Consider the following 27559-nt stretch of genomic DNA (forward strand, 5'->3'; position numbering starts at 1 on the left):
CAGAAGTCAGCTTTTGTTTGTGAAATCATTTGTTGGCCCTCTCTTCATCCTCCTTCTGCCCCCCTCCTGCCTGGGGCCAGCCAAGTTCCCGTCAGCCGGGCAGGCTGCAGGCCTGGGCTGCTGTGCACCATAGCTGCTTGGCCCGCAGCTGCTTCGTGGGCCCTGGGTGGTTACCTGCAACTGCAGCGGGGCCCAGAGCACCCGGCGGCAGGGAACCCAACTGGGCCCTGCTCAAGTTCCCACCCAGAGCCTGGGGAGCGCACAGCCCTGGGGGCTGCCGCTGGGACCCTCAAACCGCCTCCAGCCCCCATCTGCAGCCCTTTTGGCCCTCCGGATGGCACAGCCCCCTCCCACTCCCTCCATACTGGCAGCAGCTTCCCATCAAAGTGAACTGCTTTCCAGACAGATGAGCCCAGCGGAGGGGTCTGAGGTCAAAAAGCCCAGTGCAGATGCCAAGCCGAGAGGCACCTCCCGTCCCGAGCCCCCCACCTCTTCGCTGCCTGCTTTGGCCTGGGTTATGCTGCCCTGAAGAATGTGTGGGAGGCAGCTCCGTGCAGCCTCCGTGGATGAGGCCGGGCACACCCCATGTCACAGCAGCCACACTCCGTCCTCTGTCACTCGCAGTTTCCATGTTCCCCTGTTTAACTGGACACCCAGAGCTGGTGAGCTGGGCAAGTTCCCTGGGTCTCCGGCAGCCTCGGGCCTCTCGGAAGCCGCTTGCCAGAAGACCGGGGAGTCAGGGAGCAGCTTCCCCTCAGGTCGCCGTTTCTGTGGAATCCCCTGCCCTCTGCTCCTGGGCCGGCCACTGCGGTCCCTCTGTCCAGCTCAGAGCTGAGCCCCCGGTGGACGCCCATCAGTGCCCTCACAGGGGAGCTGGGCGCTGCGTGCCGGGGATAGGCAGGGAGAAACTGCTTTGGGGAGTTTGGGGGAGGCTGAGAGGCAGCTTGCAGGGGGCCAAACCCGTATCTTCCCGAGGCCCCTTGCTTCTCCTGCTGACACTAATTTGCACGCTTCTCAGAGAGCTGCAGGATTTCTGTGTCCCGCGAACAGATGTGAGTCCTACCAAATCACAGCCAGAGCCACAAGCCACAGGCTTAGATAACTCACTGTCTGCTGCTCCTCTGCCCCAGAGATCGCTGCTAGCTTTTCTCTCTTCCTCCTCCTTTCCTGATCCCCAAATCAGGGACCAAGGAATAAAAGGAAGAGGCCTAGGGCTGAGTGAATTTTCTGTGTGTCTTGACCATAAATGAGGAGCATTCAGAGCGCATGCTAAACAGCTTGCAAATCAGAGCCCATTATTTCTGAGTGGATGACTCAGGCGCTTTTATAATTGGAATGTAGCACAGAGTATGGATCATTCTCCGTCTGTTGTTTTGCTCAGAAACATTTTGCTACAAGCAGAAAGTTCTTCAAAGTTAATCCAGTGCTGCAGTGCCAGGCAAGGCTGGGACGGCCGCCCATGCCCCCAGCTGGCCTGGGTTTGGTGCAGGACCCAGTGATGCCAAACAGGACAGACAGTGGTCCGCCTAGCATCTGACTCTGCCGTTCAGTGCAGGAAATGAGAGGGACACGTGCACCCACACACATGCACACATGTATACACACACATATACACAAGCATGCACAGATCTGCTGGAAATCCAGCCCTTGACCCTGAGTACATGTTGATTGTCTCTCAAAACAGAGCGTGACTTGATGAATAATTTACCTTTGAAAAAAGATACTTGTCCCGGCGCGGTGGCTCACGCCTGGAATCCCAGCACTTTGGGAGGCCACAGTGGGCGGATCACTCGAGATGAGGAGTTCGAGACCAGCCTGGCCAACATAGTGAAACCCCGTCTCTACTAAAAATACAAAAATTAGCCGGGCGTGGTGGCAGGTGCCTGTAGTCCCAGCTACTTGGGAGGCTGAGGCAGGAGAACTGCTTGAACCCAGGAGGCAGAGGTTGCAGAGAGCCGAGATCTCGCCACTACATTCCATTGATAGAGCGAGACTCCATTTCAAAAAAAAAAAAACAAGATACTTCTCTGGAAATTTTGCCCACCTAATGTTGCCAGGCATTTTCCCTGGTGAATTTTCAGCTGACTAGGAAATGGGATGCTCGACAGCAGCTCCTTCCTTCTGTGTGAGAGCTGGGGCCGCCACTGCTTAGACACGTGTCTGCAGGGGAACATGCCACAGCCATCCTAGTGGGGGGCAATAACACAGCTGCTCCCACTCCCTCGGGCCAACCCTGTCTGTGGAATGAGCTACTGAGCCAAGGCGGGTGTTAACAGCCTGGCTCTCTGGCCCCAGTGACATTTTCACAGAGGGAACCAAGTGGCCAGTGGCCACAGTGGGTCTGGGTTTGATTTTTCTGTTTGGCTGTGATGAGAGCTCGGTGTCTTGTTTTGCAGGGCTGAAGTGGTACTGGGAAACATCATTAAGAAGAAAGGATGGAGGTAACGGCCCTGCTCTCTGCGGCCTGTCCCTGGGGTGGGTGCGGGCGAACTATCCCAGGGTCAGCCTCGTCGGCCTGTCGTGCAGTGTCGTAAGGCCCGCAAGTCCCCACATCTTTCTTGCTGGGAAGTGGAGAGGAAAATTCAGTTCTCCAAGAGTAGGAGGTGACTCTGCTTGAGAAAGAAGTTGAAGGGAGGCCGAATACACTGTCCACCCCCACCCTAGCCTGCCCACTCCGCCTCTGTCCCAACTCATCCACAGAGACCCAGAGCACCAGGGTCCCTGCTTGCAAAGTGTCAGGCCAAAAAGAGCTTGGCGTGAGAACGGGCCTGGGTACAGCAAAGGCGTGCTGCTACAGAAGATGTGGGTGCAAAGCACTTCCACTTCTTTGGCTGGAGCACTTAGGGTCAGGGGAGCCAGGGGGCCAGAGAAGGGAGTGGCTCAGAGAGCTTGGGGGCCTGGGGTTGGATCCCACCCTGCACCTTGTCCACAGGATCTTCGCGGCGTCTCAGCCTCTCCGGAGCTCACTGTTCCCATCTGTAAGAGGGTGTGTGTGGGACCGTTCCGGCAGGGCTATCCTGAGGGTCAGTGGCCCCAAGTCTGTAAATCACCCACCCAGCTCAGGGCGGGACGTGTCACACTCCTCTGGGAAGTGGTCCCCTCCAGCACAGACCGGGGAGCGGTCCCCGGGTGTGATGGAGCCCAAAGGTCGCAGATCGGGGGCCATCCACCCTTCTCTCCCAGGAGCCTATGGGCCCTTCCCAGGCCAAGGTCCTCACCCACCTTGGGACCAACTGGGCTGAGCACTTGCCTACATTTTGAGGCTCCCCAGACCCCTGGACACAGCTTTATCTCAAGGTGCTGACAAGCCCCGGGGCCCTGTTCCTTAATAAATGCGTCTTTATTTTCAGAAACATCAGAAGCAGTTATAAAGTTGGGCCTCCCTCCTCCCTCCCCTCGAAATGCCACTCAGAATCCCAGTGCCAAGGGGAGCCCCCGCCCCCTCCCCCATGGATTCCTGACACCCCTTCCTCTTGTCCCATCAAATTTGTTTTTTGGCAACTCTGATCCCAAAACAAATTCCTCCTCACCCTGTAATTAAACGAAATTGCACGTATTAGCAAATCCCCTGATCACGTCTTTGGCGAATGTGCATGGAGGTGGTGTGGGGTGATCCCCCTTCCTGGAGGTGACGCTGCCTCTGCCAGAGCTCTGTGGCCGATGCTTCGGGGCAGAGGAGGCCTCCTACTCCAGCCTCGTGAGCTGCTTCCCTGAGCAGCCCGGGACCCGGGTGGGAAAGAAGCTCAGCCATGGGGCACCAGGAGGTCATTGTCACCCCCTGGGTGGGAAGTACTCCCTCCTCTGGGAGGGGTCAAGGTCAAACGTGGCTGGGAGGGGCCATCATTATCCCCCATCCCACCAGGACAAAGCCACTGGTATGGGCATTTGTCTCGTGTGGACTTAGAGCAGAAGAACGAATTACTTCCCTTTGCGCTGCTCAAGCCCAAATCCTCAGAATTCTCTGCCTCAGCTACTCAAACCCAGAACCCCACTGGCCTGGCCACACTTGGGCTCCCTATGCCTCCCCTCCCTCCTTTGGTGCCCCCCAAGTTACCCCGACCAGGCCGTCCTTATGCCTCCCCTCCCTCCCTTGGTGCCCCTCAAGTTACCCCGACCAGGCCGTCCCACACAGATTTTCTGCAACACGTGTCACATTCTGTAGGGAACGTTGCAGAGAGCTTCCCTGCCTGCCTCCCACCTACATCTTTCCATCCTCAACTCCTGCCAGATCCCCCCAGAGCCCGCCCCTGCCCCCTGGCCCACACCCGGCCTCCTCCAGCCTTGGCTCTTGCCACTTCCTCTACCTGGATCAAATCCATGCACCCCTCATAGTCCCTGAGCCAGGCCCCCCTCCCACATCCTGGGCGGAAGGCATCTCCTCCGGACTCCGGTCACACTAGGCCCCCCACTGTCCAACTCCCACTGCCTGACTCACAGTTACTGCCTCGGTGGCTGCCTCCTGGCTCCATGAGGAGCCCACGCACCCCGGCTGGGCACGTGGTACACATCATATGATGGAGAAGTGCCCATTTCATGCCCCAGGCTCCTGGGTGGGAGGGCTTTCAGGACCTCTGTGTGAGAGATGAGGACGTCGGGGATGAAGGAGGACCCCCCAGGGGCCGGGCTTATCACACCCCTTCTTTCTCTTCTGTTCCACAGGCGGTCCAGCCTCGTCATCACCACCAAGATCTTCTGGGGCGGAAAGTAGGTGCAACAGCTGGCGATGCTTCCAGCCCCGGCCCAGCAGCCACGGCCCCGTGCTCCCCAGAGACCCCTGACCTAGAAGGCTCCTGGGGTGGCGGGAGGACAGTCCTCCTTGAGAAGGGAGAGTGGTCGGGGTCTGTCCTGGACAGGCCCCGGCCCAGTGCCATTTCCTGTCCCCAGCAGGGGCAGAGCTGGTGTTTCTGCAGCCATCAGCTATGCCTGGTGCCTGTCCCTGTTAAGGGACGTCAAATCCAGAAAAGAAGCTGTGGCCGAGTTTGCCTTTTACAAAAACCTCGCTTAACTTTCCTTTTTACTCACATGGATTATTTTTTCCTGGTCACTATGGTAACATCATAAAAATTATAGAGAAAACAGAAAATTTGTGAACTGCCCAAACCCCCAAAGCACTCCAAATTCCCTGGGCCGCCTGTCACCCCTGCAGGTCTCCAAGTGTCTAGCTCCATAGTTTCTGGGCTGGACACACTTGGGCTCATAGGAATTATAACTACGATTCATTCATTCATTCTTTTTTTTATTTTTATTTTGTTTTTATTTTTTATTTTTTTGAGACAGGGTCTCGCTTTGTAATCCAGGTTGGAGCGCAGTGCCACAATCACAGCTCACTGTAGCTTCAAACTCCTGGGCTCGAGCGAGCCTCCCACCTCAGCCTACAGGGATGAGCCACCATGCCTGACTAATTTGTCCTTTTTCTCTCTCTCTCTTTTTTTTTTTTTTTTTGAGACAGGGTCTCACTTTGTCACCCAGGCTGGAGTACAGTGGCGTAGTCCCAGCTCACTGCAGCCTCAACCTCCTGGGTTCAAGTGACCTTCCTGCCTCAAGTAGCTGGTTCTACAGGCACATGCCACCATGCCCAGCTAATTTTTTTATTTTTATTTATATTTTTATTTTTGTATTTTGTAGAGATGGGGTTTCATCATGTTGTCCAGCCTGGTCTCAAACTCCTGAGTTCAAGTAATCTGCCCACCTCAGCTTCCCAAAGCACTAGGATTGCAGGCGTGAGCCACCACGCCTGGCATTAATTTGTCCTTTTTTAAGATATGGGGTCTCACTATGTTGCCCAGGCTGGTCTTGAACTCCTGGGCTCAAGTGATCCTCCTGCCTTAGCCTCCCAAAGTGCTGGGATTACAGGCGTGAGCCACTGTGCCCAGCCTGATGTGTTCTTAATTTAAAAAATAATAATAATAATAATAATAATAATAAGTCCAAATCAAACAGACGGGTTAGGTTGAAAATCAAAGCCCCCCACCCCCTGCTGCTGCCCCCCTCCCCTCTGAGCCCTGTGACCAGGCCTCTCCCTGGGCCTCTGGGAGTTCAGCCCTGTAGCCTCGGGTCCCTACCCCCAAAGTGGAATCCGACTCCACACGGCATTTGCTGACCCTGTTTTTGCGTCTAACATTGCATCGTAAACGTTTTTTGGGAGGGGCCAGGGTGCCAAAACCGCTGGTGACATCACACGCGGTCGGCCTGTTTTCCAGGGCGGAGACGGAGCGGGGCCTGTCCAGGAAGCACATAATCGAAGGTGAGGACGCGCTCGGGCACCTCAGGGCCCCCATACCTGTGGGATCATCCTCGGAGGCCAAAGTGATGGCAGCACAGGGCCCGACCCCCCCAGTTAACCCACTGAGGGCCCAATCCCGGGGCACCCGGTGCTCTGGCCTGACCTTCTCCTTCCACCCAGGTAGCACAGCGGGACGCTGCAGAGAACGAGGGCAGCCCGGTGGCTGAGCACAGACCACAGACCAGCCTGGGTTTCAATCCAGGTTTGGCCCCACACTGGCTGAGTGGGTCTTCAGCAGGGGCACCCTGCCCCATGCCTCTGCCACAGTATCTGTGCAATAGGGACAGTAAGAGCGCACCCGGCGAGGGTGGCTGGGATGCCTGCAGCGCCCAGGAGAAGGTGCCACACAGCCCGGGGCTCAGCACTCGCAGGCACCGGAGCAAGGCACCGGGGTGTCTGGCTCTTGCTGTATCTTTATTGTCTTCATGCCTTTCCTGTCCGTGTTCATTTTCTTCGAGGTAATAGATCATTCCATTGAAAATCACCTGGCGGGGCAAGCCACCCACTCCCATCCTCCCCACCCCAACCCAGCGTTTCACTCTGCCGGCTGTGTGTCCTGAGCTGCTCTAAGCACCAGCGGGTGGCTTGGGCGTTTTAGACACTATTGCCATTGTTTTTGTTTTTGAGATGGAGTTTTGCTCTTGTTGCCCAGGCTGGAGTGCAGCGGCACGATCTTGGCTCACTGCAACCCCCACCTCCTGGGTTCAAGCAATTCTCCTGCCTCAGCCTCCTGAGTAGCTGGGATTACAGGTGCCCACCACCACATCTGGTTAATTTTTTTTGTATTTTTAGTAGACACAGGGTTTCACTATGTTGGCCAGGCTGGTCTCAAACTCCTGGCCCTCAAGTGATGCGCCCGCCTTGGCCCCCCAGAGTGCTGGGATTACAGGCATGGGCCACCACGCCCGACCATAGACACTATTGCCTTTGATGGGACGGGCAGCAGGTGTAGCCCTCCCTCCACATGTGATAGATAAAGTCATCTCCCTGTTGTAATACACAGTGGCCTCAGAGGAGGGTATATTGTCTGAGGGAGGAGGGGCTTCCCCTTCATTTAGTCAAGGACACGTGGCCTGTGGTCCCCCGATGTCCTCCTGAAGGGAAGATCCCCCCACTCCCTGTGGGATGTGCCCCCACCTCTGCCGTGGCATTTCACGACCTCCATCAGCTTCTGGAAGCTTCCAGATGCCAGAGGCCTCTTCTCCATCTCTTGTTCCCTGAGCCGGGCATGGATGGGCCCAGGTGCCTGTGGAGATGGAGCCACAGCAGTGACGCCCCCCCACCTGGTCCTCCCCCAGGTCTGAAAGCTTCCCTGGAGCGACTGCAGCTGGAGTACGTGGATGTGGTGTTTGCCAACCGCCCGGACCCCAACACCCCGATGGAAGGTAGGTGGTCTGCGGCGGCGCCACCGGTTAGGCCTGGGCGGGGTCTGAAGGGTCTGAACCTGGGGTTGTAGAGGCCGCCAGCATGGGCCCTGCTGGGCACCCGGGTGAGCCGTGAGAGGAGGCCGGGTCCAGGGTGGGGGGCGAGGGGGCAGGCCTCCCCTCAGTAGGGGGTGAACTCAGCCTCTGGCTGCAGACCCCTCGCCAGGTGCACCTGGCACCTCCAGGCTGAGTCCCTGTCCTGGCTTTGGACCCAGGCCGATCCGCCCTCCGAGTCAGAGCCGCAGTGGAACTGTCCCCTCCCCTCTGCGGCTGCTATTTTGCAGCTAAGTGAAGTCGCAGTGTGGGGACTCCAACTGCGGTGTTCTCTCCAATCACCATCCATTGGGAAGCTTGGGGGGACTTTTTTGCTCTGGGGGATAAATTACTACATAGAGGAGAAGAAGCGTTCAGCGCTTTGAAAATCGGTTTTGGTTACTTTGGCGTTTTTTATTCTTTCTACTCCTGCGATCTCAGCCCCCTCCGCTCCCCCATCCTCCTGCTACAGGCGTCTTTCCATGTGTGCTTTGCTGCTGCAGGGACTTGAAAGTTAAATTGTGTTCCAGTTATTGTTTTTTATTTGTTCATATACAGCACGCACGTGCGTGTGTTGATATATTTTTTTCCTTTTTAACTAAACGCGTGTTCTGCACGGTGATTTGTGCCTCCCCGCTGTGCCTTCGTCGTGCCACGCCTCTCAGTGCTCCCAGCTATCAACTCTGGTCTCTTTAAATCTTTCTTCTATCACCAGGGGACCCATTTAGTTCCTCCAAGTCAAGGACATTCATCATAGAAGGTACACAGTGCCCCCAGCCTGACTATTGACTTCTGTGTCCAAGCTGCATTTTATGAGACAGTATTTTTATTTACATGATTCTTTTACCCCATGAGAAACTTCTCCATAAAATGCATAAAGAGGGGAAAGAGCACCCTATGAGAACACCTTGCAAGTGAAGGAAAAGCAAAGTGGTGTTGGAGCCCCTCGCCCCCAGCCCCCCATCCCCTCGTTCCTCCTTCCTCCCGTGCATGGCCCCCACCCCTGGGCTTGCACTGCTGAGCTCCGCGGCGGCCGGGGGTCCTCTTGATCTGAGGATGCTGTGATCCCCACCTGGAGCCTTGACCCTGGATGGTGCCATGGGAAGGGTTGGGGAAGACCAGGTTTCCACAAGGAGCAAAGCCATCAGGGACCCCAAAACACGCGGCCCCCCACCGAGTCTTAGCTCCTCCATGGTTTATGTTTGCTAAGCTCCTGTCTCTCCTGGAGGCAGAGATCACCTGGCTTGTCACGCTGCCCCGTCCACAGCACGCTGCTCCTCGGACGGCATGCTGGCTGCGTGTCCCCTCTCACCAGGTTGCCAAAGCGCTCCATCAACGTGGAATCATTTTCCTCCTGAAAGAATAACCACAGGAGCCGGCAGCCTTCTGAAACCAGGGGGTGGCCTCTGGCCACGCACAGTCTCTCTGCCCTCCCCACAGCTAACGGCCCCAGGACCCCACCCCAAGGGCAGGTGTCGATCTCCCTGGGCCTGGGCCCCTGTCTGCCAACTGGTGCTGCCACCTGAACCCCCATGTATTATTTGTGATGCGGCAGGAGATGCTGTGAGTTTTGGCAGCAGCTAGAAGGATTCAGTCTTCCTACTTCCGTTCAACCCCATTAAATATTGAGGTGAAGGACAGTTGTCCCTAATTGTCCCTGGGTCTGGGGCCACTGATATCACACTTGGGCACAAGTGCAGGGTGCTCCCTCATGTGGGCTCCCTGTCCAGCCTGCTTCTGCCCAGATCCTCCAGGGAGCCCAGGGGCCTTTGCCTAGGACTCCCCACCTCAGGACAGCCAGAGGCTCCTGCCCCGTCAGCCCCGTCTCTCCATCACTGCATGGAAGGGGCGCCGCAGGGCAGCATGCGGTTTCACTGGCTGGGACCTTGGAGACCTGAGACAGCTGCCGGGGAGGGAGAGTGAGGGAACGGGGCTGGCCTTGGGGGCCTTGGCTTCCCTCTGTCTGGCATGTGGACCTAAGCCTTGGCTGAGAAGAATCGGGAACTGATGCTGCATGCTCACAGGTGCCCCGAGAGTGTTTCTAAAAAACCACAAGGCCGGGCAGGCCAGGAGCCCGGACCTGGGCAGGATGTAGTCAGAGATTCTCCTGGGACCCTCTAGGTTCTCCTCAAACTTTCCCAACCAGGCACTTCCTGAGGGTCTATCGGAGTTGGCAGTTAAAGCAGGTGGCCCAGGGAGGTGGCCCAGAGAGTTCAGACTCCCTCCCAGATCTCCACCCCCAGGAGGGGACAGAGAGGATTCCCAGGAGCTACAACCTCTGACCTTGGAAGTAAGCAGAGAGCAGGGCTGGGCCTGCAAGCGTGGAAGCCAAGGGTGGTTTGCCAGGGGTCCTGGGTGAGTCTGCCGAGACCACCACTCCAGAAACCCCAGTGGCCTCAGCTCTAGCCTTTAGGAGGCCCCAGGTTCTGCTCAGGGTGGACCTCAGTAAAGGGGCACTCAGGGAGCGACCCCCAAAACAGAAGTGGACGGGAAGCCAGCACTGCCACTTTGTGGCCTCGTTGCCATTCCAGGGGGGAGCCTGCAGAACAAACCCAGCATCTTCCATCCTTCCTTCCTTCCCATCAGCCCCACTCCCAGCATTTTCAGGACCTCAGCTTCCACGCAGCATGGGCAAAGGACAAGCAGGCACTGAGGGAGAGCCAGGGCTTTTCCAGGGTCAACGTTGTTGCTGTCTTTAGAAACACTTGCACTCCCACTCACTCCCACACTGCCTTTGGCGGTCGAACTTGCAAGCACTGTATCCGACCCGTGAGAAGCCTAGCGCCATAGTCCCTCGCCCTGCAAAGCTCAGAGGCTTCTGAAATTTGAAATTTCGACGCCAAGTTCTGTTTTTAAAATCACAATATCCCCATGAGGCTGAGAGGGAGCTATAACCAGCAGATTGCTGTGTCTCAAAGCCATGTTTGAATATTGGGAAGAATCCACTGTGTCGCTGGGGCGAGGGTCCCTCCTCTCTTCTTTAAAAGGCCAGCGTGAAGTCTCCGCGATTTCATCCTCAGGGCCTTAGGAGTCTCCGCCGTCCACGATTCAGGTTGTTCCCAGGGCTCATGGAGCCTCAAAACTGTCCTACTCCAGGCCCTGGCCCCTCACAGGAGGAGCACCCAGACCCCTGTGGCCCTGGGACCACCCCTTGCCAGGGGACAGGCGGGTTGGGACTCTGGCCTGGTGCTGGGCTGGTTTGAGAACCTGGGCCATGGTCTTACAAGGCTTTCCACGCCCACTTCTCAGTCTCCTGGACATGACAGGAAACATGAGCTCAGCCCCGAAGCCCTATTCTCCGGGACCATATGGCGCCCCAGGTCCTGCCACATCTCCTTATCCAGCCCACTCTCTGTTCCAATTAGACTTTGGAATAGCCCGAAGTAGGAGACCAGAAACGCAAAAACACATGTCCCTCCTGCCGCCAATCTGACTGTAACGTTCATGCATTCACCTGGTCCTTCCTGAGTGATCGGGGCCCTCGAATCTTCCCCAGACCAGAGAACCTCCAGTTCTAGAGTCCAGAGCCACATTCTTTGATTGTCCCCTCTAATCTACCATAGAAACATCACGGTCCATCCATAACCCATTTTTCAACATTTCCATAGGCCTGTAACCAGTCGGGGAAATTGTTTTCACGACCAACTTCTAGGATTGTGGTTCACTTTTCTCTTTCATCCCAAAAAACCCCTCCCACACCCAACTTCAGAGCCAGGAAGTACACTGCTTGCAAGACATCTTCGCAGCCCCTGTCCCTCCTCCCAGCGTCCTGCCTGTATTTGCAGAATGTCCCGAGGCTGGCCCTGAGCCCTGGCTGCCCCCCACCTGCGGTTTCCCTTTCTCTCACGACAGAGACCGTCCGCGCCATGACCCACGTCATCAACCAGGGGATGGCCATGTACTGGGGCACGTCACGCTGGAGCTCCATGGAGATCATGGTACGGTGGCCGCGCAGCATGTGTGTGTCCAGGCACAGACTCCCGGCACCGGCTGCGTATGGAGACCCCAAAGCTCTGGCGGGGTCTGTGCCTTTGGTCCCAACTGCACCGATGCCTGGGTGCTAAGGGAGGGACAGGATGGTGGAGTGTGGTGGTTATGTCTGTAGGCCTTGCAGACGGGGATTCTGCATGGATCCCAGCGCTGTGTGGCCCTGGACAAATGGCTTAACGTCTCTGAGCTTGTTTCCCCACCTGTAGAACACATCTGCTAGGTGAGCCCCCATGGGGCCATTCTAAGGAGTCCCTGAGAGAGCCAGTGTGAAGCTCTTAGCAGATGCCCTGGAGCTCAGCAAGCACTCTGGGGTGACAACACCGTCAGCTGTTTCCACTGGGCTCCTGAGACGTGCCCGGTGCTGTTAGGGTCAAGGGTTCCACAGGGACCCTCTCACATGCAATCCTCACCGGTGCCTTTACCAGGTGAGTGCCGCAGGCAGCCCATTTTTCAGATGTGGACACTGTGGCACAGAGAGGTTCAGTAACATGCCAAGGTCACACAGCTTGGGCCAAGATTAACATCCAGGCTGTGTGGTTCAGAGCCTGGGCTGCTCATAACTGGACCCTCCGGCCTGGGGGTCCCACCACCCACCTCCTTTTCCCAGCTCACCAGGGCCTGCCTGGCTCCCAGGGAAGCTATGAGTGTGAGCAGTGGGGAGCCCGGGCTGCAGCTGCTGGGCCAGCCTGCTCCGGGGACACCTTGGTGCCCTCTCCATGGCTGCCCCGGCAGCCTCCCGCCTGCTCACAGGCAAGGGCCCTCGGGGTCCCTTTCTGCCTTCACAGGAGGCCTACTCCGTGGCCCGGCAGTTCAACCTGACCCCGCCCATCTGCGAGCAGGCTGAGTACCACATGTTCCAGCGTGAGAAAGTGGAGGTGCAGCTGCCGGAGCTGTTCCACAAGATAGGTGGGCACCCTCGGGCCCCTCGCCCCGCCCCACCCCACCCCTGCTCTCGGGCCCAGGGCTTGACTCCACCTGCTTTTCCTCTTCAGGAGTGGGCGCCATGACCTGGTCCCCTCTGGCCTGTGGCATTGTTTCTGGCAAGTACGACAGTGGCATCCCACCCTACTCAAGAGCCTCCTTGAAGGTGAAGGAACAGCCTGGTGGGGAGGGACGGGCAGGGGATAGGCATTTTGGACGGGTGGGACCTTTGGGCCGACTGCTTTGGTGCTGGGCAGGGGTTCCGGGAGCTGCAGCTGTTCCCACCTCGGTCTGCTGGGGGCGGGCTCCTTGGCGTGAGAACATGGAGCCCCTCCTGGCCTGATCCCATGTGTAGAGGGGCTGCCCAGCCTGTGGCACAGGCCCAAGTGGAGAGGCCCTTTCACATCCCCCCCCCTGCCCCCACCACATCCCCCCATCTCTACCCCCTACCACATCCCCCACCTCTGCCCCCCACCACAGCCCAGCATTCAGAACTCTGAGACCCCTGGGCCTGGGCTCCGAGATGGGGGCTGCAAAGCCACATGGAGGTGACCCTGGGAGAGGCGCCCCTCCCCACCACACAACCTCTGAGTGGGGACTCAGGAGGGTCCCCAGACTGCAGGATCTGGAGAACAAGGAGCAGGCCAAGAAAGTCTGCCCAGCCAGCAGTCTCAGCACTGGGGCCCACAGCCCTGGGTTCCAGGGCAACGTGGCCTGGCCCCCGACTCCTCCCATCCCATGGCAAGGTCAGGGCCCCCCTCCAGGAGGCCCTGCAATCCTCTGGGGGGGATGGCCAGGGGAGAGAGCACTCCCCTAGGGCCAGGAGGTTCTTCTGGGCCACGGGTGGCAGCCGAGACCCCAGGCTGCCAAGTTTCCTAAGAGAAGGAAGGCCAGCACCTCGCCTCCTTGTCCTGACTTGGGGTTGGGCCAGCACCACAGTCTTTGCACTTCAGAGCCTGGACAGGCCCCGCTCATCCACCAGCCCGTGCCCGGCCCACTGCCCACTCTCCCCTACTTGAGAGGCCTGGGGCAGGGGCACTGCCCTGGCTTCAAGATGAGAAGAGCCCCTATGAGGGAGAAGGGTCCAGAAGGAATGAGCCCATCGGCCCCCTGCACGTGGGGGTCCAGGTGACCTGCTCTCATCTGTAGCTGTGCTGCTCCCCTCCCCCGCAACCAGGGCTACCAGTGGCTGAAGGACAAGATCCTCAGTGAGGAGGGCCGGCGCCAGCAAGCCAAGCTGAAGGAGCTGCAGGCCATCGCCGAGCGCCTGGGCTGCACCCTGCCCCAGCTGGCCATAGGTAACGGTGGGGTCGCCATGGGGCCAGTGCCCCTGGGGAGAACCTGCCCCAGCTGGCCGTAGGTAACAGGGTGGGGTTGCCATGGGGCCAGTGTCTCCGGGGAGAGAGGGAAGGGATCCCTGGACATCATCCCCCAGCCAGCCTCGGGTAATCGGGCTCTAAGGGGCATGGTTGGGACCCCATGCCTCTAGGGGGATGTCAGGAGTCCCTGAGGACCTGGGCCACCCCCTCCATCTGCCAGCCATAGGTAATGGGGCTCCCGCTTTCATGGGAAGAGGATGGGGAGCGCTAAGCACTTGGGCCACCTCTCCATCAGGGAGCAGCGGGCTCCCCCATGCCTCCTCCAGCCACCTCTTAGACAAAGCCCGTGCCCAGCACTGCAGGGCTTCCTAGACCCCCTCAGACCCCCAGACCAAGATGCTGGGTCTCTCGGCCCAGTCAGAGGCAAGGCAGACCCATCAGGGGCCCCTGTGGTGGGTGTTTCTCCCTCACCTTGGGTCTCGCCGCCACAGCCTGGTGCCTGAGGAATGAGGGAGTCAGCTCCGTGCTCCTGGGGGCCTCCAATGCGGACCAGCTCATGGAGAACATTGGGGCAATACAGGTAAGAGTGAGAGGCCCTGCTGGGCAGAGGGCCCATCCCAGCCCGAGCCCCGTCCAGTGCATCCTCCCAGGCTCGTCCTGCGTGCCAGGCTCTGTTCTAGGCACTCAGGATGCGCCCGTGAACCATCAGAGTTGTGCTCCTGGAGAGCTTGCTTTCCAGCAGGAACAGACATGAACACTAACTGCACGAAACAAGGAGGTTAGAATGTGTGTCAGGGTGGACGAGCGCTGTAGGAGAGAAGCCAGAGATAAAGGGAGGGAGCTGGGGCCAGGGACGGTGGCGCTGCAGACTCAGGTTCAAGGGGGCCTGTCAGGTGGGCTTGTTGAGAAGGTGGTGCTTGAGCAGTCTTGAGAGATGCGGAGTAAGTCACGCAAATGCCTGCGGGAAGAACCTTCCACCAGCAGGAAGAGTTGATGCAAAGGCCCAAAAAGGCCTGGAGCAGAGGGGCAGATCCTGAGAGGCACGAAACACCTCCAGGGACTTCTGAGTGAGACGGGAGCCGTGGCAAAATTGTGGGCAGAGGAGGGCGAGCTGCAGCTCAGCCTGGAAAGGGAGGCTGCTCTCCGGCTGCTCCATCGGGGAGGCTTTGGGAAGCAAAAGTCGAAGCAGAGAGCCCTGGTGGGAAGTGGCAGCTGCGGGTCCGAGACGGGAGTGGTGGTTGGATCCTGGATGTTTGGGAAGGTGGGGCCCCCGGGACTGGCTGACAAACTGGATGTGGGGGTGAGAAGGCGAGGTGGAAGTCGGTCCCCGGGTGTGTCACCCGGAAGGGTGGCGGTGCTGTATGCTGAGGCAGGCGCAGCTGGAAAAAGCAGTCACGGACATGGAAGTCCAGCATTTGGCCTGGAGTTTCCATTTTATGTCACTGCTGCCACCACCCTTCAGGAAGGTTCTAGGGCACCTTGACATTTGAGAGGGAGTGCACAGACCCAGGCATGCTTCCTCTCTGCCCCAAACCTTCTGAAACACAAAAGCAGCGTGGCCTCCATCTGCCTCAGATGGAGCCCAGATGTGATGGGGCAACCCGGGCCTGGCCAGCCGACCATCTGGAAGAGCCTGGCCCCACCTCCTCCCCAGGCCAGGCCCGTCTTGTTGGTGGGATTCTGATTTGTTGTTGTTCTTGCACGCAGGTCCTTCCGAAACTGTCATCTTCCATTATCCACGAGATTGATAGTATTTTGGGCAATAAACCCTACAGCAAAAAGGACTACAGATCCTAAGCCGCCCCCGCCCGCCTGCTCGGACAGTTTCCGTTCCCTCCTAGTCTCTGTTCGCTCGCTTAAGCTGTTTTGAAGCCAAGTGAAGAGTGTGGTTTGCATCCAAGAGAAAACACCACACTGTGATGTCATCGGGAAATGATCTCCCAAGTCGCTGCCAGACACCACCCACTGCTTCGCCGGACAATGTCGAAGTCCAGTCTGTGCCGGGGAAGGCACTGGTTAGGAAGGATGTTCAAACGGTCCCACCCAAGCCTGTCACCTCTGCTCATCCTCCAAGACCACCCAGCTTTCTCCCAGCCACAGCCAAGATTCCCAAAGTCAAGGCCCAAAGATTTCCAAGGTTCCCAAAGTCAAGGCCAGGCCAAGGCCTGGTTGGGTCCTTGGGGCGGGCAGGGCCAGCCTCTCCTCTGCTGAGAATCCCCACTTGGTGTAGGGGGAGAGGGGAAAGGGGTCTGGCCCATCGAGGGGCCCCTTCTGCCAGGGCCTTGGTTGCTGGGGCAGGGCCTCCCCACTGGGGGTCTTCCTCCACCTCCCACTTTCCAAGGGCTCCAGGAATCTGGGGCCTGACCACAGATTCCTCTCCCATCCTTTTCTGCTCCAACCTGCCCCACTGGGTCCCGGCAGGGGCCATGCCTACCAAGCTCGAGCTGGCCCTTGACCCCCACCCACCCCCACCCTTGCTGGCAGGGGCAGGGACCCCAGGGGGATTGACTCTGCAGTTTGGGAGCCACAAAAAGCGTAGCGGTGTGATTTCTAGCTCAGCCTCCCACCGTCTTCCTCCTACACACCAATGATGAGCCTCATGCCAGTGAGGCCCGGAGCGCTTGGGAGGGGTCCCAGTGGGGCAGGCCCCTCTGTCTGGCCACCCCTCTGTCCTGGCCCCGGAAGGCCCTGTGGTCATGTGCTCCTAGCTGCACGGTGGCTGCTGGCCACACCACGGCAAGTGGCAGCAGGGGCCGGCCCTGTGCACAAGGATGCACTCCTCTCGGCCCCTGTAGACTTTCTCTAAAGCCGCCCGCCAGCCCAGGCCGCTGCTCTGCACCGAGCTGGTGGGCTTGGGTTTTGTGGAGCGCATGCTTGGACCCTTTCAGTAAGGAAGGGTCTTTGGGGTTTTCTGTGCCCATGACTTGGGGGCTGCACCCCCACAGCACCCCCACAATGTAGGAAAAGACCTCAGGGAACCTCTCCCTGGAAAGACGGGCAGGGCTGGTTAGCCCCTCCCACTGCCTGACACCTGGGACAGGCTGGGCAGAGGGGAGAGAGGGCAGGACAGGCCAGAGTGACGCCCCCGTGCAGCTTGGGCCGGAGGGCAAGGGATGCCAGTAAGTCTGCAGGTGCGGGGTGCCACCTACAGGCCCAGGCCTGTGTCCCAAGCAGTACCCAGGCTTTGCAGACCACGCGGGGCAGGGCTCCACTGAAGCCACCCCCACCCCTCGCCAGCTAGCTCCATAGGGAAGCCTGTGTCTCCTGCCCCCAGGGCGCACCCTCAGTGCAGGCACCTCTGTTCCCGCTTTGCCCCTGGAGGAGCCACTATTCCAGAAGGCTCCACCCTGCCGTCCTGCGGGAGCCTGCTGTCCAGTCCTGGCCGGGCCAAGGCCTGGGAAACTGTGAAAGTCAGAAAGGCCAGCGGGGAGAGGCTGGGGCGAGGGGAGGAGGGGGATCAGCTTCTGCTATTACCGACCCCCCTTCATGCTGCCCCTGGCGCCTAGAACCCTTGCCCCTCCTCATAGACCAAGTCCCGGGGGTCTCCACTCAGTCCTGCTGCCTGCTTCACCAGAAGCAGCCCTGTGAGTGTGGGGTGGGGAAGTCCCTTCCCAACGGAGGTCCCAGCCTATGGCCCTGGGCCCAGGTGGGGGTCGCCTGCTTCCTTCCCGGACAGGGTCCTGCAGTGGCCAATGGTGCCAGAGGGCAGGTGGCCCACCCTCGCCATCAGGGAGGGTGGCTGGCCCCATCCCCACTGCCACCCAGCCCCACCCACTGTTGGAAGAGGGACCAGCGCGAGGTGGTGCCCAGGGTGGGCACTGCTGCTTAATGCGAGGCACACCTGGGGCAGCTGAGCCCCCAAAGGCTGCGGGTTTGCCAAACACAGAGAGGCCAGGCCCCAGTGTCAGGATGCAGTCAGCCTCTGGCGCAGCTCTTTCCACGACCTGGTTCCTGGATGTCCTGCTTGCTCCACACCCATCTACAGGGAGGATGTGAGGGGGCTCTGCCTCCTAGGGCCAGGTCCCCCCTCTCGGGAGGAGGTATTGGGTAGGACCATCCAAGAAAGGGCAGAAGACCAAGGGCAGTCGGGGTCTAGAAAGGAGGGCGCTGGCCCTGCTGGACGCTTCGGAGCCCCCACTGTTTCCCACTCAGCTTTGTGCTCAGATCCCAGGTCCCAAGGAGTGACAGGGGCTTCCTCCCACCTTCTGTCCTTGTCCAGTCATGTAAATAATGTGCTTTTTCTCTCCCCGAGTCTTTTTTTTTAAACCTACCGTGGTTCCTCAGCTAACTGCATTCCCTACCCAGGCAGAGACTGTCCTATGCCTCGAGCTTCCAAACGAGACTCAGACCGCGACACAGCCACCGTATTTATGGAATGACAAAATAAATAAAGCCCAAACCCATCGGTCTCTGTGACTTTTTGCTCCTCTCATTTCCTCAGGGTCAGGGCTGGGCCAGGGTGACACGGGAGGGGAGGAAAAGGCTGCCAGCAGCAGGGCCTGGGGCATCCCCCAAACCGGAGCCTGCAGCCAAGGGCAGGTGGGTTGGAAAGGGCCCGTGGAGAGAGAGCGGGGACAGAGAATGGGGACAGGGTGGTCAGAAGACCTGTCCCCCATCTCTCCCAAGCGATTCAGCCAAGGGAGGGTGCGTGCCTCCCCTGCCGCCCCCAACACACACATTCTCTTTCACCAACTCTGAGGGCCCAAAGCTGCTTGCTGGGAGGCTGCTGTCCCTCTGGGGACCTGGCTGGCTGCTGTTCTCATAAGGACAGAGGTCCAGGCCTGGGGAAGCTCTCATGGTATGTGTTTGGGGTACAGGTGAGAGGGGCCTCACCCCAGCACACCCCTGTTTCGGGCTCCCCTCCTTCCCAGTGAGCCCCTGCACCCGTGAAATGACCATCCCAGGCAAGAGAAGGCTTCCGGACACGCCCCCACCCCCCACCACTCCTCCCTGGCCCCAGCCCCCACCCCCATTCTAAATCTTGAATCTTAAAAAGAAAAAGCCTCTGATTAAATCCTTTCCCAAAGGATTTATTAAAACACAGAAAACCAAAACATACACACAGAGTACAAAGTAAAGGTGATTGTGTTGGCTACAGCCTCTGTCCAGCCTCCCGTGGGCGAAGACCAGACAAGCCACGGCTCACAGGGGAGCCTGGCTTCCAAAGCTGGACCCGCCCCCGCCGGGGCCACCCTGGCTGGGACTCCTGGCGCGCCTTGCACCCAGCCCAGGGCCCTCCCTTTGCCAGCCTGGGGCTGTGCCTGGGGAAAGGGGTCGGCCCCCTCTTAGCTGGGCCTGGGCCGGTGGAGTCTGCTCCCTCCACACCCCTGAACTCAGACCCCACGGGCCAGTGGGGACCCTCCCTTCCTCTCCAGGGGTGCTTGGGCTCCAATCGCTGCTTGAGGAGTTCAGGACACACACACACACCCAACGGGCCCTTTCTGGGTTATCGCACCTAAAAAAATACTTTGTTTAAAAAAAAAATCTGAAAATTAAAGAAAAAAAAAACACAACGCCAGTGAGTTTGGGCTGATGCACCACAACCTGTAAACTTTCAGACACAGAAAACAGGACAGGAACCAGCTGCCGAGGCCGAGGCGGGCCTTGCACAGAAGAGACTTGGGGGAGGGGCCGAGGCCAGGTCACCAAGACGGTGAGGGCAGAGGGGCGTGCCAGCCTCGGCCCCCACCCACGCCCTGTCCCCTGCCCACAGACCCTGACGCACACTGGAGGCTCCAAGTGACCGACACTTGACCAAGTCCATCTGGCTTCTGGCTCCCATGTACCCGAGCCCACTCTCCACTCCACCTCCTTGGGCCTCAAGTGTCCTGGGATGACAGGAGTGAGGGCTGCAGGTGTCACCGGGCCAAGGCTTGGTCAGCTCCTGACCTCGGCAGGGGAGCACCCGGGGGACTCTGGGAAGGCAGCCCCCAAAAGCAGGAGGACTTCAATCATAGGGGGCAGGGAAAGTCCAGCCTGCCCCTGGGGGAAGCCAAGTTTGCAAAAAACGCAGGAGCTTCGGAAGGTGGCTTTCACGGGGGACGCTGCTTCTGCCTCAGGCGTGTATGAGAGGGCCCTGCAGACGTGCTCACTCCACCCCGAGTCACCTGAGCCCATGGGGCAATGCCTTCCAAGACCTTGGCTCAAACATGGCTCTGCAGAAGCCCTACTCAGCACTGGCTTAAAGTGGCTGGAAATTTCCAATCGCAGACTGGCACTTTGGGCTCGCGTTCATGCCCGAGGACCCTGATTCTACCAGCAGCAAAAACCAAACCCAGCCCAAAGACGCCAAACATACGGACACCACCATCACCACTTTTGGCAGAGATGACTGACAAACCAAGAAGGACATTCTCAGATCTTTTCTCCTCTCCCAAACTGGTCAGCCCCAAACCCGCTCTGACTCTAGTAGCCCACCCCTCCCGGGCCCCGGGGTGCTGGCCACGGACAGCACCACCCCTTCTGGACCAGGCAGTGCAGGGGGCCCAGGCCCAAAGGAGCCCTGGCCAGGCTTTCCTGGGTGCCCGAGTCTAACCAGGCAGAGGAGAAGGGAGCCCTGGCGAGGCCTGGGAGGGAAGCAGAGAGGAAGGGACAGAGCAAGCCTGCCTGAGAGGAAGGCGCACAGGGGAGGGACCATCAGCCCTTGGGGTGGAGACACAGACCCCTGCCCTGACCGCCACAGGCCTCCAGTCCTGCTGCTCGGGACCTATCTGCTGTGGGCCAAGGAAGGTGGGCACTGCTCCCAACGAGGGCCAACCCCAGTGCTTGCCACTGCTTGTTTGGGGACGAGGGCACGGGAGTGAGCTTCTGACCCGAGCCAGGACCCTTTGCCAGGAGGCACCGCAGAGCACACAACACGCATGTGGATGAACCATAACATGTGAGCCCGCTGACAATCATCTCCACTCCAGGGTGCTCCCCACTACGCCCACGTGCAGTGTCAGGGTCGGGCTGGCCTTGCAGACCTGGATCCAGACTGGAGTGTGGGAATGCGCCAAGAGGAAGGACTTGTAGGTCCCGCCCTCCGGGGTTCAGAGACAGCCTCATTATGAGTGAGGCATATAGGGCTTAGGGAGGGCCAGGCAATCGCTCCAGTGTCTGCAACACAAGCTGGTGAATCCTGACCCAGCCCTGGCCCCCTCAGTCCCAGGCAGGCCCTCTCCAAGGAGCTGAGCCCCAGCCCGTGTGCACCTCCACCCCAGGCCCAGCTGGGTTTTTCACGCAGCCCTTTCCTAACATTCCCAGGATTCTGCACCCCAAGGCACCTTCCCTGGGAAGGTCCCAGTACAAGACTCAGAAACGCCTTCCAGGTCGACCTGGGGCCAGGAGAAGGATCACACACAAACAGGCCTAGGGAGGGCCTGACCTGCTCCCCATCTCCGTCCCCAACTTGGAGGGGCAGGGTCCGGGGGAGTGGGTGGGATTCCAACAACCCACATGTGGGAAGATGGTTTTGGGATGTCAGGGCGCTCCTGGCAGGAAACAAGGCAGCAAGCCCTTGGTGCTGCGGCTGGGAGGGGTCTGCAGAGGGCACTGGGTCCAGTCCCCCTCCAGGCAGAACTCTCCCCACGCCTTCCAAGAGTGCAGCCTCAGGCAAAAAGCCCCCGGGAAGGCCTTTCCAGGGACAGGGGAATGGGACAAGTCCAGGCCCCCAGGGGCAGCCCGGTTCCACCTCCGGAGGTGGGCAGGGTAGGCATCCCAGGGCACAGGGCAGGGCCAGGGTCTCCTGGGCCAGCTCAGGGCCCATGACCCTCCTTGCTGGGGCGCAGCTATCACTGCCCTTAACCACACCTCTGGCAGAAGGCAAACCCAACGCAGCAGTGGCTCCGAGGCAAGTGCTGCCCCCCCCCCAGCCCACCCTCCCTGGGATCATACGCTTCTGCCTGCTGTGAAGAGCCGGGGCCACAGGCCCCCCACTGGTAACAGAGTCCAGGGCCTTCAAGATGCGCTGGGCCGGGGACAGACACCTGCTGGCAGAGGATCCACCTCCCCACAAGGAGAGAGCAAACACCTGGCGGCCTCCAGCCTTGGCAGGAAGGAGGGGAAATGTCAGCCAGGGTCTCACCATAGGGCTGGACAGCGGCTCCCCAAACCTGCCCTGTCTGGTGCTGGGAGGCTCCAAGCGGGCAGGGGGCCAAATCAGAAGGGGCTGTCACACAGGTGCAGACAGGTCAGGTAGGGGACACTGAGGGCTCCTAGGGCACCGGGCGCCATGTCCTCCCCAGCTGGGCTGAGTCCACAGGGCAGTGCCAGGACTACCTTGGGTCTGGAACCCATCGGTAAAGAGACATCAGTGCTGCAGGTTCGAATCTTCCATACGTCATCCAACTTTTATCAAGACAAACGTGTTCAAGTCTTCAATAGGAAAGTGCAAAAGATGTACAAATAAATGAAATCTCTTCTAAGAAGTCGTCTGGAAAAGGTGGCGAGGGGGCACGTCCGGCGTGGTTGTGGGGGCAACGCTGTGTGGAAGAACACTTGAATTATGATGAGGTGGCACTTCTGGGCTCTGGCCCAGCTGAGCTGGGCCTCGTCCTCCATGTGATGGCATTACTAGGTTTCCCTTTTTGTCCCAAGGTGGCGCTGGCTCCTAAAAAGGTGGCAGCTTTTCTCTCCCATGTGGGTCGGGCAGGTGGCCCGGCAGGCGTGGCTGCAAAACGCAAATCAGTGGGTTAAGCAGGTGGGCAGTTATAGGGGGCATCAGGGTGGCACCCAACAGCCTGTAGCTGCTTCTCCACCTATCACAACCAACTATGATCGGGGTGCCCCCCAGCCATGACCTCCCAGCCACAGGCTGCCGGGCCAGGCCATGAGCTACACCCAGAGTGCCGAGAGCACCCAGGAAGCAGCAGTGGGCAGGGGCAGCCAGCCAGGAAGCCCCTCTGGAGCCTCCTCCAGCAAGACACGGTTCCCACAGGGACAGACACAGCGTAGTGGAGGCTGGTGGCCCCAGAGAAGACCAGAATGAACTGGCAGTTTCTCTGAAATAAGCCCCCTCTCCTGGCCAATAGCCCCCACAAAACCCTCAGCCACCCTCCTGGTCCTGGGCAGGAAGTGAGGGTGTAAGACAAGATGTGATGTCTGCCACCAGCAGGACAGCAGGGGCAGGACAGGGCTCCAGGCGGGGGCAGCAGTCTCTGACTTCCGCTGGGAACATGTGTGCAAATGAGAACACATGTGCACACACAGGAGCTCACCCAAGTCCACCGACCCCTTCATGTCCTGCCACCCCAGCCTCCCAGTGGACAGACACGCTGGCCACAAGGTGGTCCCAGGGCCAAGGGGGCAAGGTAGAGGGGCTCCAGGCAGGTGGGTGGCTCTCAAAGCCGCCGGAGGCAGTAAAAGCTCCAGGACTTAGGGACGGGAGTCAAGTGCAGGGGCAGGGCTGACTGTGGCCAGGCCTGGTTTGCCAGCAATGGGGTGGCGGGGAGGAACACAGCACCCAGCAGCCCTCACCTCAGCTGGAAATGAGCGCTGCAACACAGGGAAGTCTCGAGGACGGCTAGATATCTGTCAAAAAAAGAGGAGAGCCGGGCTTGCCTGACGTTGGCAGCAGCAGGCAGGCCGGGCCCGGCGGGCACCCGTGTGCATGCTGCCCGGAGCGGACGGGCACCTACCGGTCACATAGGGCCCCAGGGGCATCTGGTTGTAGTTGACAATCCCTCCCGGTCCAGGGCCCCGGAAGTTGGGCCCAAAGTTGTTGCTGTACATCTGGGAGGAGCCGAAAGCGCCCTGGAGGCAAGGACTCAGCTTCACAGGTGGTCTCAGGCCCCCCACCCAGCCTCCACCCAGGGGCACGCCAGGGGGCTCGGGCCGGGGCACACAGGCCGAGCCTGACCTGCTGGATGGTGGGGTCCCCGGCGCGGTTGGTCAGGCGGCTCAGGATGCTGCGCTCCGACATCTGCAGCCGGGCGGCCACCGGGGGGATGCGGGACAGCATGGATGGCAGCCGGGTCACGTCGGCCTTCATGTCGCTCAGCAGCTCCTCCAGCTGGTTCAGGACTGTGGTGGGAGGCGGAGGGATGGTAGGATGCAGGGATGGAGGGGTGGAGGGATGGAGGAGTGGAAGGATGGAGGGATGGAGGGGTGGAGGGGTGGAGGGGTGGAGCAGTGGAAGGATGGAGGGATGGAAGGATGGAGGGATGGAGGGGTGGAGGGGTGGAGGGATGGAGGAGAGGAGGGGTGGAGGGGTGGAAGGATGGAGGGGTGGAAGGATGGAGGGATGATGGAGGGATGATGGAGGGATAATGGAGGGAAGATGGAGGGATGGAGGAATGATGGAGCGATGGAAGGATGATGGAGGGGTGGAAGGACGGACGAATGGAGGGGTGGAAGGACGGAGGGATGGAGGGATAATGTAGGGATAATGGAGCGAAGATGGAGGGATGGAGGGAAGGTGGAGGGATGGGGGAAGATGGAGGGATGGAGGGATGATGGAGGGATGGAGGGATGATGGAGGGATGGAGGGATAATGAAGGGATGATGGAGAGATGGAGGGATGATGGTGGGATGGCGGAGTGGAGAGATGGAGGGATGATGAAAGGATGATGGTTGGATGTTGGAGGGATGGAGGGATAATGAAGGAATGATGGAGAGATGGAGGGATGATGGAGGAATGGAGGGGTGGAGAAATGGAGGGATGGAGGGATGATGGAGGAATGAAGGGATGAGGGAGGGATAATGGAGGGATGGAGGGATGATGAAGGGATGATGGATAGATGGAGGGACGATGGAGGGATGGAGCGGTGGAGAGATGGAGGGATGGAGGGATAATGAAGGGATGATGGAGAGATAAAGGGATGTAGGGATGATGAAGGGATGATGGATAGATAAAGGGATATAGGGATGAAGCGATGATGGAGGGATGAAGGGATGATGGAAAAATGAAGGGATGATGGAGGGATAATATAGGGATGGAGGGATGATGGAGAGATGGAGGGATGATGGAGGGATGAGGGATGATGGATGATGGAGAGATGGAGGGATGATGGAGGGATGGAGGGATGATGGAAGAATGAAGGGATGATGGAGGAATAATGGAGGGATGGAGGGATGATGAAGGATAATGGAGAGATGGAGGGATGGAGGGATGATGGAGGGATGGAGGGGTGGAAGGATGGAGAGATGGAGGGATAATGGAAGATGGAAGGATGGAAGGAAGGTGGAGGGACGGGATGATGGAGGGATGGAAGGATGGAGGGATGATGGAGAGATGGGGGATGGAGGGATGAAGGGACGGTGGAGGGATGGGTGATGGAGGGGTGAAGGGATGGAGGGATGGAGGGATGGAGGGATGATGGAGAGATGGAGGGATGATGGAGGGATGGTGGAGACATGGAGGCATAGAGGGATGATGGAGGGATGGAGGAATGATGGAGGGGTGGAAAGATGGAGGGATGATGGAGGGTTGGAGGGGTGGAGAGATGGAGGGATGATGGAGAGATGGACGGGTGGAAGGATGGAGGGATGGAGAGATGACGGAAGGATGATAGAGGGATGGAGTGATGATGGAGAGATGATAGAGGGAAGATGGAGAGACGGAGGGATGAAGGGATGAAGGTATGATGAAGGGATAATGGAGGGATGGAGGAATGGAAGGACGAAGGGATGATGGAGGGATGGACGGGTAGAGAGATGGAGAGATGGAAGGATGGAGAGATGATGGAGAGATGGGGGATGGGGGTGGAAGGATGGAGGGAGAATGGAAGGATGATGGAGGGATGAAGCAATGATGGAGATGATGAAGGGATGACGGAGAGATGGAAGGATGAAGGGATGGAGGTATGATGAAGGGATAATGGAGGGATGGAGGGGTGGAAGGATGGAGGGATGAAGGATGACAGAGGGATGAGGGATGGAGTGGAAGGACAGAGGCATGGAGGGATAATGGAAGGATGGAAGGATGGAGGGGTGGAAGGATGGAGGAATGGAGGGATGATGAAGGGAAGGAGGGATGATGGAGAGACAGAGGGATGGAGGGTTGGAGGCATGGAAGAATTATGGAGGGATGGAAGGATGGAGGTGTGGAAGGATGGAGGGATAAGGGATGAGGGATTGAGGGGTGAAAGAATAGAGGGATGGAGGGGTGGAAGGACGGAGGCATGGAGGGATGATGGAGGGGTGGAAGGATGGAGGCATGGAGGGATGGAGGGATGAAGGGCTGTGCCAGGGGAGGTAGCCCGAGAGCTGGGGCTTATTTGCAAGGGTGTATGACTGCACTTGCCCAGAACCGGGCACCAGGGGGTGCCCTGCACCAGGCCCTCCCAAGCTGCAGGCAGCACTGCCAAGTGGGGACACAGCAGGAGCTTCCAAAGAACTCCTCCCAGGAGCCCCTCTGGGCTGGGCAAGGGCCCACGGGCTGCAGACGAGCCAGCCAGAAGCGCTGCCTGACGCTGGGCTTCCCTCCTAAGAGTTCTCAGGGAGACCTGCAGCCCCAGGCCCTACTGGGCACAGGATCAGAGTACACCAGGGAGGGCTGCAGGGCACAGGGAGGGGTCCAGCAACTCTCACCACAGGGCCACCCCTCCCCCAACCAGCCGGGAGCCCCGAGGGCAGAAGTGTGCCCTGTGACCACAGGCAGAGATGTGCAGCCAGCACCAAAGCTCTGAATCCTGGGAGATCTTGGGCAAACTACTTCCCTTCCCACACGGGGCCAAGGAGAAGGCTCCAGGCTGATGGGTATTGCCCGGGCTAAAGACACAGTGCATTTAAGTCACGCTGTCAGGACTCAGAAGCCTTTACAGTTTCGTGGTTTTCTGTGTCACTAGCCCGGGCCGGGGCCCGCACAGAGCAGGCTTGAGAAACAGGCTGGAGAAGCAAGCAGCCTCAGTTTCCCTGCAGGGGAGATAAGGGGTCTGATGACAGGACTGTTCCATCTTGGCCCAGAAGTCCACCGCCCTCTGGGCTGACATCTGTCCCCAGCCCCTACCCCATCAGTGCCCTCATCTACAGCCAAGAGCGCTCGCTGGGCAGGAGGAAGGGCGGGGGGCTGCACCGTGGGGGGCAGGACTTGCTCACCCTTGTGCAGGACGGCATTGGCAGGCTTGTTCCCAGCAAGGGACTCCTTGGACAGGTGCTGGTGGCTCTCGGCGAGGCACTCCACTTCAGCCAGGCGGGCGTTGAGGGCCATGGCGGGGTGGTTGGGGTCCTGCGTCATGTTCAGGTACGCGGCCCTCCGGAGCTGCTCCTCAATGACCAACGCCTGCTCCAGCAGCTGGGGGCGGGGCGCAGCGTCGGCCCGGCCCCTCCCGCTGAATGGCTACCCTCCGTGCTCCACCAGCGCCCACCCCAGGCCAAGGCTCCCGGCAGAAAGGAGGGAAAGAGGACGTACTGCCATCTGCTGCCCACCCTGGCCTGGTGGTGGCCAACCCTTGGAGCTGTCACCAAGCTGGGTTCTCTGTACCCCAACACCCCAAGGCGGCAGATACTTCCCAGTGGGGCCAGGGCCAGAGCAAGGATCCACCACTGTTAGTTGATGGACATACTGCTGCTTCGTGGCAGCGTGACCCAGGTACACGGGGAGGGGTTGCTGCTCTCTAATTCCTTTGCCTTTGCGAGGGTCCTCCTGACACCGTCCCTCCCTGCCCCGT

The 27559-nt window shown here is 59.2% G+C and overlaps 2 protein-coding genes and 1 long non-coding RNA gene across 17 annotated transcripts in view, besides 6 other annotated features; 2 read left to right on the forward strand and 1 right to left on the reverse strand.

Annotated features, from left to right (window-relative positions):
• The window catches only part of KCNAB2 (potassium voltage-gated channel subfamily A regulatory beta subunit 2), a 108505-nt gene extending 90132 nt beyond the window's left edge, over nucleotides 1-18373 (forward strand). For 10 of the 15 annotated variants that reach the window (XM_047432870.1, XM_047432872.1, NM_001199861.2 and 7 more), the window contains 10 exons: nucleotides 2397-2441; nucleotides 4660-4704; nucleotides 6201-6244; nucleotides 7582-7668; nucleotides 11593-11678; nucleotides 12516-12636; nucleotides 12723-12817; nucleotides 13829-13949; nucleotides 14462-14550; nucleotides 15678-18373. In XM_047432870.1, coding sequence (XP_047288826.1) covers nucleotides 2397-2441; nucleotides 4660-4704; nucleotides 6201-6244; nucleotides 7582-7668; nucleotides 11593-11678; nucleotides 12516-12636; nucleotides 12723-12817; nucleotides 13829-13949; nucleotides 14462-14550; nucleotides 15678-15767 — 823 coding nt within the window. In that variant the 3' untranslated portion in view covers nucleotides 15768-18373. The other 5 variants (XM_047432866.1, XM_011542321.4, XM_011542322.3 and 2 more) reach the window with 3 other exon arrangements.
• Nucleotides 214-694: a silencer, noted in NCBI's record as "fragment chr1:6143081-6143561 (GRCh37/hg19 assembly coordinates)". NCBI's record gives its function as "represses an EF-1alpha promoter that drives an FKBP-Casp9 reporter gene in an ReSE screen in K562 erythroleukemia cells {active_cell/tissue: K562}" and the evidence as "EXISTENCE:reporter gene assay evidence [ECO:0000049][PMID:32094911]".
• Nucleotides 2448-3564, forward strand: LOC124903831 (uncharacterized). The gene is made up of 2 exons (XR_007065442.1): nucleotides 2448-3023; nucleotides 3351-3564. It is a non-coding gene; the product is annotated as an uncharacterized LOC124903831 (long non-coding RNA).
• Nucleotides 18980-27559, reverse strand: part of CHD5 (chromodomain helicase DNA binding protein 5) — a 78535-nt gene continuing 69955 nt past the window's right edge. The window contains exons 38-42 of the mRNA NM_015557.3: nucleotides 26988-27183; nucleotides 23809-23972; nucleotides 23588-23702; nucleotides 23427-23480; nucleotides 18980-22620 (exon numbers count right to left, since the gene is read on the reverse strand). Of these exons, the coding sequence (NP_056372.1) occupies nucleotides 23473-23480; nucleotides 23588-23702; nucleotides 23809-23972; nucleotides 26988-27183 (483 nt within the window). The 3' untranslated portion in view covers nucleotides 18980-22620; nucleotides 23427-23472. The remainder of the gene's footprint in view (nucleotides 22621-23426; nucleotides 23481-23587; nucleotides 23703-23808; nucleotides 23973-26987; nucleotides 27184-27559) is intronic.
• Nucleotides 19322-19823: an enhancer, noted in NCBI's record as "H3K4me1 hESC enhancer chr1:6162189-6162690 (GRCh37/hg19 assembly coordinates)". NCBI's record gives its function as "activates a minimal SCP1, AML or CMV promoter by ChIP-STARR-seq in naive H9 embryonic stem cells {active_cell/tissue: H9 hESC(naive)}" and the evidence as "EXISTENCE:reporter gene assay evidence [ECO:0000049][PMID:30033119]".
• Nucleotides 19322-19862: a biological region, named in NCBI's record as "H3K4me1 hESC enhancer GRCh37_chr1:6162189-6162690".
• Nucleotides 19693-19862: an enhancer, noted in NCBI's record as "experimental_8871 CRE fragment used in MPRA reporter constructs". NCBI's record gives its function as "activates a minimal promoter by MPRAs in K562 erythroleukemia cells, with activity observed for both the introgressed and non-introgressed 1:6162645 variant alleles {active_cell/tissue: K562}" and the evidence as "EXISTENCE:reporter gene assay evidence [ECO:0000049][PMID:34662402]".
• Nucleotides 19824-20323: an enhancer, noted in NCBI's record as "H3K4me1 hESC enhancer chr1:6162691-6163190 (GRCh37/hg19 assembly coordinates)". NCBI's record gives its function as "activates a minimal SCP1, AML or CMV promoter by ChIP-STARR-seq in naive H9 embryonic stem cells {active_cell/tissue: H9 hESC(naive)}" and the evidence as "EXISTENCE:reporter gene assay evidence [ECO:0000049][PMID:30033119]".
• Nucleotides 26149-26248: a silencer, noted in NCBI's record as "silent region_137". NCBI's record gives its function as "represses an Ori minimal core promoter by ATAC-STARR-seq in GM12878 lymphoblastoid cells {active_cell/tissue: GM12878}" and the evidence as "EXISTENCE:reporter gene assay evidence [ECO:0000049][PMID:35858748]".

Source organism: Homo sapiens, chromosome 1 (genome assembly GCF_000001405.40).
Source record: "Homo sapiens chromosome 1, GRCh38.p14 Primary Assembly".
Lineage (NCBI taxonomy): Eukaryota > Metazoa > Chordata > Mammalia > Primates > Hominidae > Homo > Homo sapiens.